The 16,661-nt window shown below is 38.9% G+C and overlaps 1 pseudogene, besides 4 other annotated features; it reads right to left on the reverse strand.

Moving 5' to 3' along the window:
* Positions 1,048-1,137: an enhancer, noted in NCBI's record as "active region_7641". NCBI's record gives its function as "activates an Ori minimal core promoter by ATAC-STARR-seq in GM12878 lymphoblastoid cells {active_cell/tissue: GM12878}" and the evidence as "EXISTENCE:reporter gene assay evidence [ECO:0000049][PMID:35858748]".
* Positions 1,178-1,267: an enhancer, noted in NCBI's record as "active region_7642". NCBI's record gives its function as "activates an Ori minimal core promoter by ATAC-STARR-seq in GM12878 lymphoblastoid cells {active_cell/tissue: GM12878}" and the evidence as "EXISTENCE:reporter gene assay evidence [ECO:0000049][PMID:35858748]".
* Positions 6,168-7,367: an enhancer, noted in NCBI's record as "BRD4-independent group 4 enhancer chr13:42933453-42934652 (GRCh37/hg19 assembly coordinates)". NCBI's record gives its function as "activates an origin of replication core promoter dependent on BRD2, P300/CBP, MED14 and CDK7 cofactors, and independent of BRD4, by STARR-seq in HCT116 cells {active_cell/tissue: HCT116}" and the evidence as "EXISTENCE:reporter gene assay evidence [ECO:0000049][PMID:35650434]".
* Positions 15,879-16,572, reverse strand: FABP3P2 (fatty acid binding protein 3 pseudogene 2; annotated as a pseudogene).
* Positions 15,899-15,948: an enhancer, noted in NCBI's record as "active region_7643". NCBI's record gives its function as "activates an Ori minimal core promoter by ATAC-STARR-seq in GM12878 lymphoblastoid cells {active_cell/tissue: GM12878}" and the evidence as "EXISTENCE:reporter gene assay evidence [ECO:0000049][PMID:35858748]".

The raw sequence follows: 16,661 nt of genomic DNA on the forward strand, positions 1-16,661 counted from the left end.
TATATAGCATGTTTTCTTTATCTATTTATTCATTGATGAAGGTTGATTCCATGTCTTGGCTATTGTGAATAATGCTGCAGTGAACGTGGGAGTATAGATAACTCTTTGACATGATGATTTTATTTCCTTTGGAAATATACCCAGAAAGGGGATTGCTGGATAATATGGTAGTTCTATTTTCAGTTTCTTAAGGAATCTCCACATTGTTTTTCATAGTGGCTGTCCTCATTTACACTCCCACCAACAATGTTTAAGGATTCTCTTTTCTCCACATTCTCACCAGCATCTGTTATCTTTTGTCTTTTGAATACTAGCCATTCCAACAGATGCAAGGTGATAGCTCATTGTGGTTTTGATTTGCATTTGCCTTATGATTAGTAATATTTAGCATTTTTTCATATACCTATTGGCCATTTGTATGTCTTTATGTCTTCTTTTGAGAAAAGTCTATTCAGGAATCTCAGTGACTTTATTGCTTTTTATCTTTGTCCTGCTGATGATGACTTGGAAAGTTTTAAAATATAAAACCTACAAGGTGGGGATTTTTTTTGTCTGTTTTGCTCCCTGTTATATATCTAGTGCCTAAAAGTGCCTGGCTTATAATAAGCACTCAAAAAATATTTTTGAATGAATGAATTAATGCATAGCAGCAACATTTACTTTGCACCTGTTGTGTTAAGTATGTTAAGAGATGCAAGGGAATTGAAGAAGCTAGGAATGGTTCCTGGGCCCTCACAGAAATTACGGATTAGTTTTCATTCAAATCCTTTATTTTTAAATTTATTAAAGACTGATAGCCTGAACATCATTGAATTTGTTCTTTTATATTTGGAAAATATGCTTCCAAGAGCATCGGTGTTCGTAGAGATTCTCACATTATCTGGTTCAGGGATTTCCTTGGATACTGCGAATTTGTAAGGATTAAATGCTTTAAAATTATAGACTCCTTGGAAAGCCCCAAGCTGATCTTATAAAGTACAACCACCTTTTTGTTTTTAAGCATAGGAAGTAGATGACTGAGAGAATAGGATGATTTAATTACACATCTGGGGTGAAAACATGGCAGTGTATTCTGTGTTACTCATGGAGCAAATATAATTCATTCAAGCAAGCCACGGAAATTGTGAATACAACTACCATAATGACTTGGTGATGATGGCTTTCTGAATGCCACCAGTCAGTCCACCTTGGGAGACTGATTTGCCAGAGGCCTCTCCTTTCTATCTGTGCTTCTGAACTGGGCTTGAATCAAAGCCAACCTACTGCCACTGCTCTAACTTGACTGCATTGTTTATGGTAATCCACGTGGACCCTGAAACCTGGTCGTCTGATGCACTACATGCATGCACAGACTGAGGGCAGCCTTCTCAGCATCAGCACAACCTCTGCAGTGAGTACTGCTCATAAGATCAGTGCAGGGAGCAGCAGATGTTTGCTCCAACCTTCTGCAGTACATGTAGTAGCAATCGCAGGGCTGAGGCTCTGTGGGCAGAGCCCACGTGGGCAGTCTCCCAATTTCCTCCTAGGGAGAAATGCATACAGAGGCTTAGCACCACAGTTGGGTGCTGTTCACTTCTGTCTAGTTAAGGAGTCATTATTAGCCAGAAAGGAACTATGATGTCAGTTTGGTCTTTGTGGATTTCCTGACTCAGTGTTTATGAAGGAGACACATTAGTAATGGTCTAAGATATCTGGTCCAATTTGTATCAAACAATAGTCGTTTCTCATTTTCCATTGCTGTGGTAATTTTAATGCATTCTCCTCTGTGAGGCAGTGGAAATAAATACCATGGAGGAAGATTCAAGGAGATGGTGCTTTTTTAGTCTTTTTTCCCTTCTAGCAACAGGATGAGGGTGTAAAAAAGGTCATGGACCAAGGCAATTTGGAGAATCATTATTTTCAGAGTCTGTCCTGTAATGACAGAGCTGTGGCTTTGTGTGCTCTATCTTCCCCAAGGATCCAGTGTCCAGAGTCAGGGGTGTTTCTGAGCCTGAGCACTCTGCAGCTCTCCGAGAGACCTGCACAGGAGTGCTGAGATCCTGCTGGCTTCCCTTTCTTATCTGTGAAGTGAAGATCTGAGAGCTGAGCCCTGCCTACGTTCAAGGGGTGGGAGAGTATCTGTGAGGCTTTTAGGCCTTTGAAGGCAGGTGCTGTAAGAGTGTGAGATAAAAGTTTCCGGAGATGAAACAGTGATCAGGAGGCCTCTGGAGGGCTGCCATCACTGCAGCTGATTTTCCCCTCTCTCTCACCAAGCCCTTGTCATTCAGTTTGTGGCCAGGTAAAGACTTAAGTTGAGGCGGGGAACATGGTACTGTAATGGCCTGTGAGGTCTCCTTCCTCATCCCTCCACTGGGGAAATGGGAAAGAAGAAAGGAGAGAAAGAAGGAAGGTTTGAGGGGGAGGGAAGGGGAGGTCTTTGATGGCATCTGTTCCTAAGAGCTCAGGAGGAGAGAGGCATTAAAGCTGCCAAGTGCCGGCTGCTTCCAGGATGTCTCATGCTCCTTCAAGCCCTTCTGCAGTTGTGGTCCTCTGAGCTAGGGCTGCCCTTGTCTCCGTCCTCACCTGGGGACTGGTGAAGCTCTCACTGGTATTGGCCTGGTGGGGGGTCAGGTGTCTTGGTCTTGGTGAGTACCCCGCTGTAGCACATGGTGTCATCCTGCACCATTCATTGTGTGTCTGACTCTCCCACTAGGCTGAACTCTCTAAGGATAGGCTGGGATTTATCCATCTTTACACCACCTCCCCCAGTTCTGAGTCCCAAGTGCCTAGCACAGAACCTGCCTAAGAAGGGAGACTGATGGTTCAAGAGGAACACCCCCATATCAAGCCCAAGAGAGCGCCTATGCTCCAGCAATGGAAGGTCCTCTCGGCACAGCCATGCTGCAGGGTAGAGTTGGAACATGACAACTGTGAATCTGGTTAATTTTATATCCACCCCACATCCTCTTCATCTCCATGTCTGTCGTTTGTACAGCTTCTGTACTATACATCTCTTTATAGGTGAAGCTACAGTCTCATTTATATTCACAGGCTGCGTTTGTACTTCCTAACATCCACTCCTCTCCCGCAGCCCAATACTCTGCACATAGTAGGTGCATCTGACATGTCTGTATACTCGAAGTTTCCTCAGCCTACATGAGCCTGGGTGGCTGTGATAGGCTGAATAATGGCTCCCAGATATGTTCACTTCCTGAAAACGTCATCTTTCTAAGGATCTTGAGATGGGGAGATTATCTTGGATGATCTGAGTGGGCCTGAGGTAATCATAGCAGTTCTTATAAGAAGAGTGAGTCAGAGGAGAAGGTGATGTGGCCACAGCTGCCTAGGTGGGAGTGATGAATATGGAGGAAGAGGCCACAAGCCAAAGAATATATGTGGCCACTAGTAGCCGAAAAAGGCAAGCAAATGGATTCTCCTCTGGAGCCTCCAGAAGGAACTGGCCCTGCCAACACCTTGGCTTGAGCCCAGTGAGACTGATTTTGGATTTCTGACCTCCAGACCCGTAAGAGAATAAATGTTTTAAGCCACAAAGTTTGTGGTTAATTTGTTACAGCAGCAATAGGATGCTGTACAGTGGCACACCTGGTACCAGTGCTCTGGGGCAACTTCAGAATGGTACAAAAGTCATGCTGAACTGAGGAATGGAGGAAACAGGTACAGATGGATCTGCTGACTTGCAGCCTTCTTCTGGCTCTTAGGACGAGGGGTACTGTGGCCTTCCAGCTTTGTGCCTCTCTAGGACTTAAATGAACCACTCTGGCTGGAGTAGTTCCTTGGTGAGGATGCAGCTGCTGGGAGTAGCCAACAATGCTTCATGGTGCCTGGGGCTCCCCACCTTGGGGCTCATCCCCCTCTTCCTTAAAATCACCTGCAGTGACACAGACCAGGGTCTAGCTTTTGGTTCTTCCCCAAAACACATTTCCAGAAAACAGGAACTAATACTCCTAGGGAAAATGAGCTTCCAGATAATAACTACCTTAAAAACAATAAATTGGACAGCTTTAGCATTCAAAACAGTCACTGAACATTAGAGCATGATTAATATACCCAGAGGGATAAGGGACAATATTAGTGATATGAAACAAGTTGAGAAGCAAAAAGGAACAAAATGGAAATATGTATGAGAAATTTAGAAATAAATAGTGTGGTGAAGTGATTAATACTCAGAAGAATACAGCTGAAAGTAAGCTTGTGAGTTAGAATATCAGATTGAGGCCAGGCATGGTGGCTTATGCCTGTAATCCTAACATTTTGGGAGGCCAAGGTGGCAGGATCGCTTGAGCTCAGGAGTTAGAGACCATCCTGGGCAACATAGTGAGAACTTGTCTCTACAAAAATGTTAAAAAATTAGGTGTGCGGGTGTGAGCTTGTGGTCTCAGCAACTGGAGAGGCTGAGTTGGGAGGATCGCTTGAGCCCAGGAGGGTGAGCCTGCAGTGAGTCATGTTCATACTAGTGCTCTCCAACCTAAGTGACCGAGTAAAACTCTGTCTCAAAAAAAAAAAAAAAAAAAAAAAAAAAGAAGAAAAACAAAGAAAGAAAAGGAAAGAATATCAGATTGAGGGACTCTCCTAGAAGTTTGCAGGAAAGGGTCAAGAGATAGGAAATTGAGAAGAAAAGCCAAAGCTAAGGACACAGATAGAATTAGTGGAAATATCTATTATTCATCTAATAGGAGTCCCAGAAAGAAAAATACAAAAAAAAGAAAAGAAGAAATATTTGGAGAAATAATGGAGATTAAATAATGGAGATTAACAGATGCAATTACAGATGCAAAAACATATTAAAAGACCCCTAGCAAGATAATGAGAACCCCACACCTAGATAGATTACAGTGAAATATGGGAACATCAAAGACAATGAAAATAGACTATTTATTAAGCCATAAAGGAAGTCACCATAAAGACCAAAGGATGAGTATGTAGAACATAGTATAGACTATGTTTTACAACTATAAAATAATATAGGCCTATTTCACTGTTGGATGTAGATGCATAATCCTTAAATAAAACATTAGCTAACTAAATCCAACAATGTTTTTATAAACCCATCATGATCTCATAGGAGTATGTTGATAAATGCAAGAATAACATTAAATGGATCATAGCATTAAGAAGAGATTTTAAAGGTATAAACCTGGATAAAGTAAGAAATAGGTGAGATATTCACAAAATACATTTTACATAAGTCAAAAGCACATGCACACAAAACACCAATATACCTTTTGCAGGAACTTATACAAACAAAAAGAGGCATGATGAACAAGTCAGAGTGGTTGCCTAGGCATAGGGTGATAGAAATAGAAGTGGGGACTGGGGATAAAAGGATATAGAAAAGATTGAAAGGACAATCTGAGTGTAGCATGGAATACTGAAACTCAGTTATTCCTCCTATCCTCTCCCAAGATAGATCTCCTACATGGCCACGGCACTTTGCAATTCGTCTTATGAAGAGGTGGGGTCTACTTTCCAATTTTTTATATTTCACCTTGTGACTGTCTTTGATCAGGTTTCTTTGTGGAAGTTCTGATACTAAGTCTCAAGATGCCACATGGCTTCTGCTAGTACTGCTGGGAACTCTGAAGCCATCAGATGATCATGCTTGAGCAGCCTTTGGATGTTGAATAACTATGCGGATAATCGTACATAAAACAATTCTCAGCAAATGCAATAGAACTGAAATTATACCAAACACACTCTGAGACCACAGCACAATAAAAATAGGAGTCAAGAATAAGAAAATCACTCAAAACCATGCAATTACATGGGAATTAAACAACATGCTTCTGAATGACTTATGGGTAAATAATGAAATTATTTTTCTAAAAATACAAATCAGATCCTAACTGGTTCTTGCTTAAAATCCTCTTTGCTAATAGGATAAAGTCAACTCTTTTACCAGGGCTCTCCAAGCCTCCTGTGATCTGGATCCTATCACCTTTCTGCCCTCACTCAGCTCCCGTGAAATCTTTTAACATCGTATGCCTCCGTCCCTTTATACACCTGCCTCACTTTGTGTTTCTTCTTCTGGTTCTCCCAGCAGATTCCTATTCACTCACCAGCAGTCAGCTTATGTTCATTCCTCTGGCAAGCCTTTCCCACCTCTCCTTACTGAACCATTCTGGGTGCCGCCTCGAATCTCACATCTGTTGTAGTCTCTGTATGATGGTGCTTTTCAACTAGACCTAAGCATCAACATCGTCTGTGTGCAGCTTTTAACATTTAATGATCCCCGGACCTTATTGCTAGGGATTAAGTTCAGGAGTTTGTGGAGTAGAAAGTCCTCTGACATGGAATTGCTTTTCTATGTGTTGGTTTCTTTCAACAGTGGTGAAGAGCAAGGATTCTGGAGCAAGACTGCTTGAATTTGAATTCTGGCTCTGCTACCTGGCTGCTGAGTCATCTCTAGTTTTTTTCACATTATCTATAAAACGAGAATAATAACACTAATGTCTTAAATGTGGTGAGGATTAAGTTAGTAATACATGTAAATCCCTTAGAACAATGCCTGGTAACTATTCAATACATATGAACTATTATTTGCTGTTACCAAAAGTGTTCAGAGCAGAAACTGGGTTGTCAATTCTTTGAATTCTAAGGCCTAGCACCTTGCCTGGCTCATGGGCTGGCATTTAGTAAAAGGTTGAGGAGCTGAATTAAAAATTATAATTAATGTGGGAAGAAAATTGGAAGATAAGATGGGGGTAACTTCCTGCTTTATCAGAAGTTCTTAGCGCAATAAAAGTCAGTAGCCCATCTGATTTTTGTCCAAAGATGAGCACCAGCAGACTGATACGGAGTGAAAATAGCTCCAGCTAGATAAGATGCAGAAATATGGAGAAGAAGCTGGGCAGCCTCTGGAAGATTTGTTGGAAAAGCTTTTGTATTTTTCCAAATATATTGCTTGGTAAATGAAACACTGAATAAATATAATATATATTCATGTTAAGTAGTGGTTTTAAAAAATTACATGATTTTATCAGCTTTCATGTTAGTGCTGAATGCAGTCTTAGACATCTTGACTCTTCAGATCTCTGTTTTTCCTTATTTATAAATGAAGGAAAATTGCAGTGGTTTCTCTAAAGTCACGTGACCACTTGTGCCAAAATCAGGACCCGTGTCGGTGCTGGGCCCACTACAGCCTGCTGCCGCCGTTGTAATGAGCTGTGATTATTATACAATCCAATACATTCCCTTCTGTCAGGCCTGCTCCTCCTCTGGTTATGATCAATGACATCGCTCCTGTCCTAGCTGCCTTGGGTTGGTTAGTGTTGACCAGAGCGCAAATCTATCAAGTGAGAAGAGGGAAACAGAGCCGTTTAGTAGAATGTGTAAGTCAGTGAAGCAGGAAAACATACATAGATTAGCACATGAGTGTGGGAATGCAAGCACAAAACCATGGAAGGCTGGTACTCTCTTCAGAGTGAGATAAGCCAAGAGGACTTTTTTTTTTTTCTCTAGCCTGATAAGTAGGCTTAAATTCTTCACAAACAGTAGACTTCAGAAATAGTATTTCCAGGTGCCCTCAGTTGTGGTAATTTAGTTCATCATAATATGTTGATGTATATTTTAATGAACTGTGTTCAGTTTTATTCTTTCCAAGATTATAAAGCACATTGCCTCATACATAGAAGCAGGCAATAAGTGATATGTTGAATTGAATTCAACTGCACTGCAGAGCTGTGGTCCAGCGCCATCAAAAATCAAAGAACTAGATAGTTTCTCTCAATGGCCCTTTCACTCAAATTTATCTGTACAAGTCAGTTGATTTCATTAGTATTAAATTTCATGAAATGACTGGGGATAGGTGTGCATTTTGATTTTCTCCAGTTTTTGGGAAACTTCTAGGCCATCCCTAGCTGCGTGACCTTAGCCTGTGTTTTTTTGTTTGTTTAACTCTGGAAGCCTCATATTTCTCCTCTTTGAAACAAGGGTAACAAAATTGGTAGCACAAGAGGGTTGTATATGTATTTTTTTTCTTTTTTTTTTTTTTTTTGAGATGGAGTCTTGCTCTGTCACCCAGGGTGGAGTGCAGTGGCATGATCTCAGCTCACTGCAACCTCTGCTTCCCGGGTTCAAGCGATTCTCCTACCTCAGCCTCCTGAGTAGCTGAGACTACAGATGCAAGCCACCATGCCAGCTAATTTTTGTATTTTTAGTAGGGACAGGGTTTCACCATGTTGGCCAGGCTGGTCTCGAACTCCTAACCTTAAGTGATCCGTCCATCTCAGCCTCCCAAATGTATATGTATTTCTGAGTGGCTGAATGCACCAGTAAAACATCTAGCACACAGCAAACACTCCAAATATTTTGCTCCCTACTGCTATTTCACCTTTTCCCTTACCTTTCTTTCTTCCTTTCAAGGATAGCAAATTATCCTTGCCTCGGACATTTAGATTATCTAAGGAATTATTATTTAATTTCTGGGGAAGTAGCTAATCCTGATTAATACTTCTCCCTCAGTTCCATCTCATCCTTCTTAATGCAAGTGGTTACAGGAATGGAAAGAAACCTATAAGTGGTCGGTTGTTGCAGCCTCCAAATAGAAGATGGCTATTGTACGAGTAGAACGAGTGTGCCCTTAATTAAGCACTTTGACTGTAGGCATCACCTCCTACATAAAAGATGAGATCTAGACCCGAGATAGAGCGCTGAAAAAGGAAGTTAGAGTATGTAACAACTAATTTATTTCTGTAGATTTTCCATCCACTGGCCTGACAAGGCAGCTGTTCAGAGGCTCCTGCTGCATAAACAAAAGCCAGAGCTTTCCAGAAAGGGGCTGCTGAACTGCACGCCATGACTTCCTGGATATATTCCTCAAATTACATAATATTAAAAAAAAACATGGCAAGAAATGATGCGGAATGGGAAGTGGAAACATGGCAATAAGGAGTTAAGCCACTGAATTCAGGCAATTCTTATTAGTATTTCTGGTGATTTTCTGTACTTAAATTTTGTCTCCAATTAACATATGTTAGGAGTAGAATCCTTTTTTTTTTTTTTTTTTTTTTTTTGAGACAGAGTCTTACTCTGTCACCCAGGCTGGAGTCCAAATTGTGTGGTTTCGGCTCAATGCAACCTCTACCTCCCGGGTTCAAGCAATTCTCCTGCTTCAGCCTCCTGAGTAGCTAGGACTACAGGCACATGCCACCACACCCAGCTAATTTTTGTATTTTTAGTAGAGACGGGGTTTCACTATGTTGGCTAGGCTGGTCTCGAACTTCTGACCTCATGATCTGTCCGCCTCGGCCTCCCAAAGTGCTGGGATTACAGACGTGAGTCACTGCGCCCGGCCAGAATCACACTTTCATAAGTGATCCTAACAAAGGCCTCATCCAAGAAGGAGTTGAAGGGAGAAGTATCCTGTGCCTCTAGAGGGAAACAAGTTTGAGTGTGTTGGCAAGAGGGGTCTCCAAGAGACTGAGGAGGCAGTCCTGGAGATGGACGATTGTGGAGGTTAAAGAAATGCCTTTTTTAAAAAAAAGTTCCAAGCTTAAATATTTTTACGTTATACATGCTTAAGGTAAAAATTTAATTCAGGATAGAGGGGAACTTGATATCCAAACCTTTAGGAGTAATGACTCTTAACAAATTGATAAACGTCCTTCCAGACATCTTTCTGTGCATTTATTTATTTAAAATATGTGCATATAATTTTACATAAATGGTATTATGCAACTTGCATTTTTCTCAACCATATATCTTAACAGATTTCTATGGTCAAATGATAAAGGTTTTCGTCATTATCGTTAATGGCCCCGTTATTATTTAAAGAGTCTCCTTTGATTGGCTATGGGAAGCAATGCTGTAATGAATATCCTTGGGCATATTCTTTTCCATTTGGGTGATAATCACTTTAGGTAAGTTTCTAAAAAGTTAGTTTATTGGGTCATTTAACATTTTGATACATATTATATAAATTTATGCTTTGATACATATTATATAAATTATACTTCCACAAGTGATAACATGAATGCCTGTGCCTCACACCCTAATAGGGGTTATAAATTCCTTGTCTTTTGTATATACTGCAAATATTTTCCTCTAGGTTAATTTTTTTTCAATTCTTTCTAATGATGTGGTGATGATTTAAACTTAAATTTTTCAGTCTTAATTTCTGGTTTGGTGGTGGTGGTGGTGTGTGTGTGTGTGTGTGAGAGAGAGAGAGAGAGAGAGGGAGGGAGAGAAAGAGAGAGAGAGATAGAGAAAGAGATGCTTACTTTTATTCCCTCAGCTATGGAAATATTCTACCATATCATTTTATGGTACTTACTTAATTTTATTTTTCAAGTCTTCAAATCTTTGAGATATCTGGAATTTATTTTAATACAGAGAAAGGGGTATGGATCTTTTTGTATTTCTCGCCCCCCTCCAAATATCTACCTAATTTTCCAACAACATCTTTCATTAAATGTATCATATTTTCCCCATTGATATTAAAATTGATCTTTATTTTCTACATGTTTGAACCTATTATGAGATTGTTTATTGTTTCTATTCAGTTTATCATTTGACCTATTCCTGCACTAGTGACTCATTTATAAAATTATTATTGTTATGTATTTTAAATATATGACGGGCAAGTTCCCTATTGCTGACCCCACCTCCAATTTTTCTTGTTTCTAAGATGGATATTTTTTCATGTTTTTCTGCCAGCAATCTTTCAGAAGCATTTCTGATTGACTTTTGGATCATACCAAATTTACAGATTAATTAGGAGAGCGGAGATCTCCATAATATTAATTTTTTTATCGATCAATACCTTTCTTGTTTATTCATATTGTTTTTATGTCTATCAGTACTGTTTTATGTTTTATATGTTTTTTCCATAGAGTCCCATGCATTGCTCATGAAGTTTATTTTTAGTTATTCAGCAAAGTGTAATGTTTTGTACCATGTCATGACAGCTACTCAGGAACCACTTTTTCCAGAGTTTTTTCCCCTGTTGACCCAGGTTAGGGTTGGCTACAAGAGAAACTTGCATGGACTTTGGAGTCAGAAATGAATCAATAGTTGTCAGTCAGAGGTGGTGAAGGACAGATGCAGAGGTCCTGATGGGTTTCAGTTTGTCCTTGTTTCTCCCAATGCCATATCTTCCTTCTCTGTCCTCTGCTGACCCCACTGACAAGCAGTGACTCCAGGTGCCTCCAGTTCACCCCATTGGCAGTGACTCCAGGTGCACCCACAGATATTTCCCTGAAGCTCACACAGTGACAACCATGAGGAGGCACCAGCCTTCCATGGACTTCCGCACCAGTCCCCCTTTGGGTTCCTCTGCAGCAGCTGCGTGTGCCTCACATCCTGCAAGCTCTGACTCATGTACCCACCTCAGGGATAGGGAGTGACTTTTCTCTGATCCCTTTCAGAGCTCCACTTTCCTAGTTTCTCTCACAATTTTCTAAGGCGCAATTCAGATAATAAATGTCTTATTCCTTAATATTTGCAGTAGTTCTGCTTCCCTGATCAAATTCTAACTGGTTCACAAAGGGTGGAGAAAATGACACACAGGACAGGCTGATGCAGATCTGTGAGGAAGGCTTCAGACTCAGGGCCAGCGGGAGGCATGGCATCATTCACTCAAGAACAGGATGCACTGGGGTTTTAACTCCAGGAGAGGAACCCTGGTATTTCTACTGCCTTCTGTGCTTGTAGAGGAGTTGGAAGGGGCAGAGTCGAAATCAAGTTAGCAGGACCTAGGTTTTGCAAGTGAAATCACAGCTTTGCTAGTGTGAGAAGTGATTGGTGCCCACCCACTAATTACTTGGGAAGTTGCCTGTAGGGGCTTAGAGCTTTCTGCTGAGCCAGAGTTGCTGACTCCCTGAGGGAGGGCAGCTGAAGGCATCTAGGAGCTAACTGGCTCTTCCCAAATAGCTATTTCATGATTTTGTTGCTATTGGACACAGGCATGTGCAGCTTGTACTAAAATTTTTAACTGTTATTTGTCTATAGGAAAGCAATTGATTTTCCACATATCGGTTTAGTAAGCTTCCACTTTACTAAGCTCTGATTATTTCAGCTGTAAATATAATTCTCCTGCTTTCTTTCCAATATAGACTCATTGTGGCTTTCTGTGCAATTGCATTGATTAGATTGTTCAATGTTAAATGTAAATGGTGATTGAGGAAAACTTTCTGGTTCTTGATTAATTTGAAGCATGTTTGACTCTTGATTACAGGCACATAGATGCACACACAGACACACACACACACACACACACACACACACACAGAGAGAGAGAGAGAGAGAGAGAGAGAAATAAGTATCATGATAAGGAGGTATCCATCCATTCCTATTTTACTGAATATTTTGATCAGTAGGAATATTTATCAAAAGCATTTTTGGAATTTACAGAGATGCTAATTTTTTTTTCTCTTGACCAATTTACATGGTAACTTTTATAAATGATTTTCTCAGTTTGAACAATCTTGGCATTCTTAAAATAAAACTCTTAATTATATGCATTATCTCTTTATTGTATGAATAATACATGAATATTTGCTTTTTTATTTTTGGCTACTAAAATATTTGCCAATATTAAATTTTTCTCTTGGATAAATATTCAGGAACAAAACTATAAGGCAGTTATTTCTGTTTGTTGTCATGATCGAGTTTTGGGATCAGAGCTATGTAAGTCTTAAAAAAATGGGAAAGTTTCAGATTTTTTCTTTGTCTAAAACCCATAAATATCACAGAGATTATCTATGTCTTGAATGTTTGTTGTAACTTTTCTATAAAATTAATCAGGCCTTATCCACTTTCAGGGTGTAAATCTTTACCTGTGTTTTCAATTAAAAAAATAGTTTTTCTATCTCTTCTTGAGCAAATTCTGTTAATTTTAATTTCCTACAATTATTATAGTCATAAGTTTTTTACACAGTATTCCTTTATGAAAAAATCTGATCTCTATGTAGGGTTATAAACTCTCTAAAAAATTCCCAATATTATGCAGTTGTGCTTTCTATTCTCACAGGTTAGTTTATTTTAACATCTATTCAATGGTACATCTTATTCATTCTGATGCTTTTATTTTTTTCTAAATAATTTATTTCTGATTATTATTTACTCCTTTTTAATTTTGTTTTTTTAGCTTCTTAAGTTGAATGCTTTTTTGATTTAATTGAAATTTTTCTTATGTGATAACAATGTTAAAAGTAATGGATTTTCTATTGAAAGTGACATTGGCTATATTTTTTGAGTTTTCTATGGAGTATTCCTACTGCCATTAATTCTTAAAGAATGTATAATTCAAGTTTTACTTTCCTTTTGATGAAAGAATTATTTATAGATCAAATTTTTATTTCCAGGAAGATACTTTTTAAATTTTATTTTGTTGTCAGTTTCTAGTTTTATTGTATTGTGGTCAGAAAATTAATAAGTATCTCACTGGACTGTGAAAATAAGGTATATTATTTGGTTTGATGTATGTGGTATCAATATCTTGTTTATGCTACTGATATTTGTATTTCTACCCATGCCTTTTCCTGAAGTATAAGTATACCTCAATTTCAAACTTTCTTGTCAATGTCGATATGTTTTACATGTGTCTTATGAACTGTGTACATCAAATATATGAATTTTGCTTGTATCTATTTTTATTTATTTAAACAATCCTTTTACTTCAGAATAGTTTTAGATTTACAGAAAACTTGTTAGTACAGAGTTTCCCATATATCCTTACCTAGTTTGCACTATGATCAACATCTTTTATTGGTTTGGTACATTTGTCACAGGGAAATTGTGCGGTTTCTTGAAAAAGTCAATAAAGTTGATCAAATTGCTAGCCAGACAAATGAAGAAAAAGAGAGGAGATACAAATTCCTTATATCAAAAATGAAAAAAGTGTCATTACTACTTATCCCATGGACATTCAAATGGTGACAAAGGAATATTATAGATAATTCTATGCCCCACCCCCCCAAATTTGACACTTAAATATAATGGACCAATTTCTTGAAAGACACACAGTACAAGGGGAAATATATGGAATATATGGGAAACTCACACAAAGGGAAATAGATATTGTGAATAGGCATATATCTATTACAGAAATTAAGTCAATAACTAATAACCTTCCGAAAAAAAAAAAAAAAAAAAACACCAGCCCTGGATGGTTTTCCTGGTACATCTACCAAACATTTACCAAAGAAATAATAGCAATTTTCTATAATCTCTTGTAGATAATAGAAGCAAATGGAGCACTTTCTGGCTTATTCTTGAGTGCAGAATCACCCTAATACCAAAACCAGATAAAGACACAATGAGAAAGGAAACTATAGATCAATATCTCTCATGAAAATAGATAATAGATAAAAAAAATCCTCAAAAGATATTAGCAAATTGAATCCAACAATATATAAAAATTAGAATATGCCACAACCAAGTGGAATTTATTCCAGGCATGTGAGGTTGGTTTAACATTTGAAATATAGTTAATGTAATCCATCACATCAAGACACTAAAGAGACAGTAAAAAGGTTAGTGTTTGCCAGGGGTTGGGAGGGTGGGGAGAAGAAGGATGAATACAGGTGAAACACAGGGGATTTGAGAGTGGTGAAACTGTTTTATACAATATTATAGGAGTAGATACATGACATTCTGCATTTATCAAAACCCATGGAACTGTATGACATAAGGAGTAAATCTTAATGTAAACCGTGAACTTTAGTTAATATAATACATCAATATTGAATCATTGATTGTAACAACTGTACCGCATTAGTGCAAGATGTAATAATAGGAGGAGAAACTGCATGGGTGTGGGGGGGGGGTATGTGGAAACTCTCTAAGCTATCTGCTTAAATCATAAACTGTTTTAAAAAAGGAAGTGCATTTTTTTTAAAGGAGCTCACTCTTTTATGATGCAATGTTGCTTTTCTATAGATTTAACAAGGTGCAGGAAGATGCAGACTGGGATGAATAAGCACCAAGCTGAATGAACTCCTTTACCCTGAAGAGATCTTGGCCCCTTTCACAACCTACCGTATCAACCTCTTAGCCTATATATATATTTTTTTGTCAGATGTTTGTTTTTATAATGAAAATACTCAAGCTCTTTTGTTCCTATGCAATAAAACATTTAGCAGTAGAATGCACTTTTTTTCGCCATACACTATGCCTAAGAGCCCTTATTGTACTGGGTATATTTGCAATATAAGGAAAAAGGCTATAGGGCTAAAAACCAAGTTAGAATCGCTTTCTGGCATTTTTTTCTGTAAATTGCTGATTCACTTTCTGACACTCTTGCTTTTAAATTAGTCTAAGGCAAGCACAGAAGCATACTTGATAAAAGGCTTTAAAAGAATCCTGATTGCTGGGGCTCCGGTCTTTCTGACCTTATTAAGTGGGGTTGGGGACATTTAAGCCTCTTCTCTTTTTTTGATCACCACTGCAGAGCTTGCTGAAATCTGAAAAGCTAACTTGTCCTGCTAGCCATCCATCAGGGGTAATTTAGAAGAAGAAGGCCAGAAAATGCTTTGCCTTTAAGAATAAAAGAGAATTGGTAATGGGGTTTTTATTTTATTCTGGTACCTAACAATATCTGCAGTGGCCAATTGCAAACTACTGTGATTTTAATGGTACAGAAGCATTAATCTATAATCAGATGATGTTAAATACATTATTCTATACTTGAGTTAATAGTCACTGGTGCTGCTAATGAAGTCAAGGGACACTAAGAACCCTAAATCCTTAAATATGATTAAATTAAATCCTTAAATTAGCATGGTAGGTTCTTCTGCCTCGGCAGTTTTCAAAGTGAGGTCCTGAAACCTTTTCAGTTATACCTGAAAAGAGTTTTTGCTGTTTTCATAATAATTCAAAGACACAATTTGCCCATTTCACGAGGTTGACTTTGCACTGATATTGGACAATTTTTCTTTTTTTGGCCTTGGATCTGCTTTGTTGACCTCAGAGCACACTTTGAATGCCATTAAAAAGCAAACCACATACACAACAGGAACTAGAACTGGATCTGAAGTCTTCTGAGGCACATGACCTCAGAAGAATTCTTCAACAAGGTGGATTTATACAAAATGCAGGGGAAATAAATGAGGCAATGTGGTGCTGAGTCAAAGGGTAACAGAGGAACAGTCAGTGACAGCGCAGGCAGACGATACCTCTTTCTCATAAGTGCGAGTGTAAACCGCAGTGCCCTGGGTGAGTGTCAGGATGAGTTTCCCATCACTTAGCTCTGGCACAAGTGTCCTCTCTTGCCCGTTACACTTCTGCAGGTGAAAAAGTTTGCTTCCATCCAGTGTCACAATGGACTTGACCTTTTTGTCATCTGCTGTTGTCTCATCGAACCCCATCCCCAGCTTAAAGCTGATCTCTGTGTTCTTGAACATGCTCTGTGTTTTTAAGGTGATAATGTCCCCATTCTTTTTGATGATTGTGGTAGGCTTTGTCATGCTAGCCACCTGCCTGATAGCAAAACTTGCACCGATTAACTTCATGTAGTCATCAAAATTCTTGCTGTCTGAGAGCTTCCAGGTGCACAGGAAGGCATCTACCATGGTGATGCTGGCCTAGACTGAGAAAGAAGCTGTGAGAGAGCAGGTGTGCAAGGAGTTGGACTGCCGATATTGGATGCAATTTTTGGTGCCTTAGGACCAGTTGAGGCAGTGGCACTAAACTGTGCTAATGCTCATTGTATTTTTCCCCACCAG

The sequence above is a fragment of the Homo sapiens genome, chromosome 13 (genome assembly GCF_000001405.40).
Source record: "Homo sapiens chromosome 13, GRCh38.p14 Primary Assembly".
Taxonomy (NCBI): domain Eukaryota; kingdom Metazoa; phylum Chordata; class Mammalia; order Primates; family Hominidae; genus Homo; species Homo sapiens.